This window comes from Homo sapiens, chromosome 1, assembly GCF_000001405.40.
Source record: "Homo sapiens chromosome 1, GRCh38.p14 Primary Assembly".
NCBI lineage: Eukaryota > Metazoa > Chordata > Mammalia > Primates > Hominidae > Homo > Homo sapiens.
In genome coordinates, this window is record NC_000001.11 from 55,271,447 (window position 1) to 55,278,801 (window position 7,355).

General features: G+C 44.5%; 1 annotated feature.

Moving 5' to 3' along the window:
- Positions 6,198 to 6,347: a silencer, noted in NCBI's record as "silent region_930". NCBI's record gives its function as "represses an Ori minimal core promoter by ATAC-STARR-seq in GM12878 lymphoblastoid cells {active_cell/tissue: GM12878}" and the evidence as "EXISTENCE:reporter gene assay evidence [ECO:0000049][PMID:35858748]".

Here is a 7,355-nt window from a genome sequence, read left to right on the forward strand (position 1 = left end):
TGGAGTCTTGTTCTGTAGCCCAGGCTGGAGTGCAGTGGCATGATTTCGGCTCACTGCAATCTCTGCCTCCCAGGTTCAAGTGATTCTCCTGCCTCAGCTTCCTGAGTATCTGGGATTACAGGCATATGCCACCACACACAGCTAATTTTTGCATTTTTAACAGAGACAGGGTTTCACCATGTTGGCCAGGCTGGTTTCGAACTCCTGGCCTCAGGTGATCTGCCTGTCTCAGCCTCCCAAAGTGCTGGGATTATTAGTGGCCTTAGAAAAGGGACCCCAGAGAGCTGCCTTGTCTCTTCCATCATGGGAGGAGACAGTGAGAAGGTGCTGTTCTATGAACCAGGAGGTGGGCCCTCACCAGACATTGAATCTGGATACTTTGATGTTGAACTTCCCAGACTCTAGAACGGTGAGAAATAACTTTCTGTTGTTTATACGTCACCTAGCTTATGGTATTTTGTTATAGCGGCCTGAACAGACTAAGTCCCTGAGGCTCTTCTTTCTTTCTTTTCTTTTCTTTTTTTGGCTGTTCTTTTTTTGTTGCTCAGATGGTATAATTTCTATTGTTCTATCTCTCAGTTTACAGTTTATTGATCCTTTCCTCTGTGTGGTTCATTATGCTCTTGAACCCATTGATTGATTTTTATAATTTTGGTCATTATATATTTTACAAAATTAATTTTATTTTTTAGAAAAGTTTAGACTCACAGTGGCTGGGCGTGGTGGCTCACGCCTGTAATCCCAGCACTTTGGGAGGCCGAGGCAGGCAGATCACCTGAGGTCAAGAGTTCAAGACTAGCCTGACCAACATAGAGAAACCCCATCTCTACTAAAAATACAAATTAGCCAGGCGTGGTGCTGAATGTCTGTAATCCCAGCTACTTGGGAGGCTGAGGCAGGAGAATCGCTTGAACCTGGAAGGCGGAGGTTGCCGTGAGCCGAGATTGTGCCATTGCACTCCAGCCTGGGCAACAAAGCGAAACTCTTGTCTCAAAAAAAGAGAAAAGAAAAGTTTAGACTCACAGCAAAACTGAGTAGAAAATGCAGAGAGTTACCATATATTCTCTATCCCCATGCATCCACAGCACTGCCCCCCCACCCCACGTTGGCATCCTGCACCAGAGTGGTATATCTGTTAGAATCAATGAACTTACATTGACACATCATTATCATTCAAAGTTCATAATATATATTAGTGTTTACTCTTGGTGTAGTTATCATAGTTTTCAGCTATAACATTTCCGTGTGGTTCTTCACATCTTACCTTTCTTTGGCGAGACTTTCTATTTGTTTGCTGAGACTATTTTTTCACTTGTTTCAATTGCTTATTAAAACATTTTTTATAACGACTACTTTAAATCTTCAGCAGAATATTCTAACATCTCTGTCATCTTGGTGATTTGGCATTTACTGATTATGTTTTTCATTCAATTTGAGATCTTTTGGTTCTTGGTAAAGTGAGTGGTTTTTAATGGAAATCTGACATTTTGGGTATTATGAGATTCTGGATCTTATTTAAACTTTTTGTTTTAGCTGGCTTCCTCTGATACTGGTCTGCTGAGAAATGAGTAATAAGAAAGTGCTGTCTTATTACTGCCAGGAGGGTAATAGAGGTCACAGTTCCCTACCCAGCCTCTGTTGGTACTCAAAGGGCAAGGGCCTCCTTGTTACTACTGCGCAGAGGTGGGAGTGCTGGCCATCCACTAGGCCTCCACTGATACCTCCCTGGCTGGGAAGGATTGGAAGGCCTTGTTAGTGCTCCACATGTGGCCTCACTGACACCGTGTGGGGAGGGGAGCCTTTACCTGTTGGGAGGTGGCGACTCTATTTCCATTGACTGTTCCAGCGGGGAGATGAAAGGACACCTCATCACTGCTGGGTGGGGTTGGAAATTCAGGCTCCATGTGGTCTTTACTGATACCCTCATGTCAAGGGTACTTGCTACCACCTGGCAGGGGTGAAAGTCCCAGCTCCTTACTTGGCCCTCTTTGATACCATCCCAGTAGGGGTTTGGGGTGTCCCTTTTCAGGTTGGCAAAGGTAGAAATCTAGACTCCCGGCTCCACCTTTGCTGGCACACTGGGGGTAGGGCCACAGGTTTGTGTGTGTGTGTGTGTGTGTGTGTGTGTGTGTGTGTGTGTATGTGTGTGTGTGTGTGTTTCCTGTGGTGTTTGGCTAGAGTACAGTGGTTTTTACTTTTTTTTTTTTTTACTTATTTTATGTTTTAGTACTCACATCTTACACAAAAGTGATTTTTATTCAAAGGCTTTCTGTCTTTTTAGGCTGCTGCTCTCCTGGTCCTTCGGCTGGACAGAGCAGACTTCTGTTGGGGCTTTTCTGGTCTGCATCCATTGATGTTTCCATGTCAAGGGCTTCTTTAGCTCCAAGTCTGGAATACATGACGCAAAAAGAAAACCCAGAGAACTCATGATTGTGTTGTTTCTTAGTTCCTGAGGTCCCCAGCTGGTCTGCCTTCTTCACTCCACCTTTCAGAGTCTTTTAAAGTTTGCTTTATGTATACAATGTCAAGGTTTTTATTTGTATTTAGGAGAAATAAGGAAACGTATGTTTTCTTCATCTTCCCTGAAGTGAATGTTGTCCATATATACTTTTATAAAGGTTAAAACACTGGCTCTGAGTAATCTGAAAAGGCTACAGACTTTATGATTTCAACTATATGGCATTCTAGAAAACACAAAACTATGGAAACAGTACAAAGATCAGTGGTTTCTAGAGGCTGGGGGGAAGGTGGGATGAATAGGTGGAGCACAGGGATTTTAGGCTGGGAAAACTATTCTGTATGATATGACAATGGTGGATACTTGCCATTATACACCTGTACAAACCCATAAAATGTACAATACAATGAGTGAACCCTAATGTAAACTACAGACTTTGGGTAATAATGATGTATTTATGTTGTTTCATCATTCTACCAAATGTAACCCTGGTGGGGGACCTTGGGGTGGGGGTGGGCTGTGTGTGTGGTGGGGAAGAGCATGGGGGAGCTCCGTATTTTCTGCTCAATTTTGCTATAAATCTAAAACTGCTCTCAAAAAATAAAGTCTGTTAATTAAAACAATTGGGTCTATATGATGGTAAAATGTGTGCTCTTGCCTCCAGCTCACGACTCTCAGTGTGCCTGCATTCAACTGCCCACTTCTCAACCCCTTGGGTCTTAATTCTGCGAAACCCTGGCCACTTTGCCTAAGCCCGAGACTGCCCTGGCCTTACTCAAGTTTGATCTGCTGTCCCTGCTACCTCCCTCTTCTCCATGCCTTAGAAGCTCCTGAACTTGGCACCAGACGGACTTGAGCGACAACCTCTCTAAGCCTCATTTTCCCCATCTGTATGAAAGAAAATGCCACCAGATTATTGCTTAAGGTTCAGGGTGGTGCCAGACCCAGCGTAGCCTCCTATTGCTCTGGGAGGCTGACTCTGGGAAGGTGGTCCTTTCAGATGCCCCGTACAAGAAGTAAGGAGAGGGGGTGAGGAAAAGAGAGTGGAGCAGGACGACCACCGGGGACCCGCACACAGCAGCTGGGCTGGCCAGCACCCTTCCTGCCACTGACACACCTCAAGACATGTTTGTTTTCTGGGTCCTCCTCAGGGTCAGAGTGGGAGCAGGGAGCACGTGGGGCGGTGGGGGACAGATGTTGTTTTTCAAGTGACAAGCGCGACTCTGTTTCCGATTCTCACAGGCAACCTGAATGCCCATCACATCAGGCAGGGAGAGCTGCCCAGATCTGACACTAACCCCTTGTGGAAGTGCCTGGCGGGTCCGCGGGGTGAGGGGGGACCTCCTACAGGGCAACGAAGGCGGAATGAATTTAGTGCCTGTGAATGAAGCGGGATTGGCAGCCTTTGAAACAAACTCTGTCTTTGTTCCTGACCGTACCTCCCAGACCAGGGCAGTGCCAGCTTTCTTCACTCCATCCTGCCCACATTCTTTGGCCCAACTCAGCTGTGAGGACAGGCACAGAGGCTCCCATGTTTTAAGCCCTAGAAGGAATCAGTTAATCTGTGTCTCGGAGACCCACAAGCAGCCTGCGGCCTGCACGGGTGGAGTCTTAGAGCTGAGTTGCCAAGATAGCAGCTTTCACACACTTGTGACTGTAGCCTACAGTGAGAAATAAATTTTGCACTATGACCCAGTGACACACACCCATCCACCCACACACACCCATTCATGTACACGCTCACACACAATCTAAACATTTAAAAAATGAAAGAAATAGACTAGACAGTATAAGAATGCGGTAAAGATACTGTTTTGTGAAATGTGTGTATGTGTGTAACTCTGTGTGTGTGTTGAGTCACGCATGATAGAAAGTGTATTTCTGACTGTGGATTGTGGTAAAAAAAAAAATCAAAAGAAATTTGTCTGGATCATTGTTTCTCCAACTATATAGTAAATCACCAGACTAGAGATTGACAAAACACTTTACCATATTAAAGTCCCCGAAAATTCCCACAGCAAAGAGAATCTGTTGAACTTTGCTGATACCCCTACTTCCCCCCCAAATGCTAATATTACTATGTCATGGAACTAATATTTCATAGAACACAGTCCTGGAAGGAATTTGAAAAATTCTCTGGAATTTCCACAGGAGTTTTTAGCCACAGGGTAAGAGGGAGTCTGTTTCAACAAGTGAAGAGTTACTAAATCTGTTATATTGTTGGTTGCCATGTAAGTTTTTTTTTTAAGTCCTCCTGCTAAAAAATGTTTGAAACCTACACGTCTCATCCAGCTCTGTCATGTTATGATGGGGGAAGTGACTGGGCCAAGGTTATCCAGTGAGGTCATGGAGAACTGAGACTCAATTTTGCTGAGTTCTCAACTGTAAACCCCTGACTCCACCTCCAGGATCAGATAAATGCCCTGATGGAGGGAGGTTAGGGGCAAGATAATGTATATGAAATATATATATGAAACTTCTTTGAACAGGCAGAAATTGTATAATAAATCTAAAGAACATATATCTTTTTTCTAAGCCTCAGAAAGGAGATTCTGTAGTTCCAATCAGGAAGTTACCAACCCTATTGTATGGTAACTTAATGAAAACTTTTTCCTATTTTCCAATTCTAAAGAAAGTTGCTCATTGCTATATTAAAACAAATCCAAGAAGTAAGAATATTTAGGCATTACTCTTCTTCTAACTAAAGCCCTATTATTGTTTTCCCAGAAGAGACTTTGCCTATATTGCATTCAAACCAGCAAAAAAATGTCTATTCCTCATCCACAGAGGAATAGAAGTGAAAGTCGTTTTACACGCAATACTGTCTGTATCTAGCAATGCTCATTCAACTTTTGTTGAATGGACAAACGCTTGAACAGTGATTGCGTGTGTCACCGAAGCACTCTCTGTCCTTGGTCAGCCTGTTCAGTGCCTCAGGAGCAGATCTCTAGGGACTCTCAATGGCTGCCTTGCCTTTTGGCTTCTGGTTGAGTTTGGCCCAGGGAGCACTGGCAGGGACTCAGAGAGTGGGGAAGAGTGGGTTTGCGTATTAATTCCCCTGGCTGCTTCCCTCTACTGAAGATCACAGCTCCTGCCAGGTGGTGGGAAGCCACCCAGCCCGCCTTGTCCCTAGATTCCCATAACCACTCCCTTTGGCCTGGGGGTCACTGCCCCCACAGATACTGATTTAAGGTTTCTCTACATCCTGACTATACATTTGCAATTCCTTTGTTAACTCTCCCCAAGGTACCCCATTTGAGTAGGACCTTGACTGTTTGCTGGGGCCTTGACTTATACTCTGTTTTGTATTCATTTTCTCTTAATATTGCGTAATTTATTGCCTCCCCCTCTCCTGCCCCATTTAGTGTCTTGACACTTGCTAAGGTATAGAAGACTCATATTTCTCTCTTTTCTCTCCCTTTTGTTGAGAGGCAACCATGGAGATAGCAGGACTTCTTAACCCTGGGGTGCTTTAAAAAACTGAGGCCTGGGCCCCACCTGGAGATTCTGACTCACTGGGTCTGGGTGGGCCCCAGCATGTCTGTTAACAGCAACTCCCCAGGGAACAACTGATGAAGGGAGGGAGGCCTAGCTCTGCAATTTGTCTCTGTGAGACCATAGGCGAGTCCTTCTCCCTGGGCCTCCGTGCTCCACGTGTTGTGTGTGTGCGTGTGTGTGCGCCTGTGTGTGTGAGCATGTGTGTGTGAGATGATCTTCGCTCTCTGACTCTGGATCTTATATCGCAGTCCCTAATTCTGATCCCAGCGGCTGAGGCCAGGGTGAGAACTTGGGTTCTGACTGCATGCACCACTGCCCTCTTGTGGACATGCGCACAACTGTGACGGTGGCTGATGCGTTCTCCCGTCACCAATGTTAGGAATCAATAGTGCTTCAAGGGGTGATTTAGTCAAGCATAGCAAAGGCTGCGATTAATCACTCCCTGAAGATAGCCATCTCCTTTTTTTAACAGACTTTAGTGAAGACTTCATCCTGCGCATTCTTATTTTAAAAGTTGATTAATTTTTTTAGAATTAGCTTCCTATAGTAAGGGGATGGGGTGGAGTAATTGCTTTGTAGAATAACCATGATTAAAAATAAGGTGGAACATTCAGGAAAAAGTCAAAAAGACCATCAAGTAGTCCCTGGGAGAGAGCCGCATAGCAGAGTGGCTGGGAGTCCCAGGGATGAGGGAGCAAAGGTTCTGCAGCTGAGCTGCTCAGAATGTTTCCTCCCCTGCTCGCAGATACCCCTCCTGAACCTCTTCTAACCCACCACCCCTTGGAAATTTCCTCCTCTGGTGTCAGCCTCCTCTTGCCCCATCTTCTCTCAGTTCCTTTCTTCGAGCCCCTTCCTGGCCTCTGTGTTCTACCACACACATGCTCTTCTGTTTCCTTTTGTTCAACAGATTTCACTGGCCCATTCGCAGAAAAAATGGTAACAACCTGTTAGCTGTTTTCATCAATTTATGTGATGTATTGTGCATTAATTACTAGTATTCTCTATGTCATATTATTATTATTAGAGATGATGGAAGAGGAAGGGCATTGTATATTAATTATCAGTATATTTCATATATATATATGTATGTACGTGTATTTGTTTGAGACAAGGTCTTGCTTTGTTGCCCAACTGGAGTGCAGCAGCACTGCAGCCTTGAGCTCCTGGCCTTGAACTCCTGGCCTCAAGTGATCCTCCCACCTTGGACTCCCAAAGTGCTAGGATTACAGGCGTGAGTCACCATGCCCAACTAGGACTATATAATAATTATTTTGGGGGAAAGATATAAGAAAAAGGATAAATGTGTTTCTAAAATTGGATATAATTTTGAACATTTAAATTTACCTGAAACAGTTTTTGTGTCATATTTGTACAATTTTTTTTTTCTTTTGAGACAGAT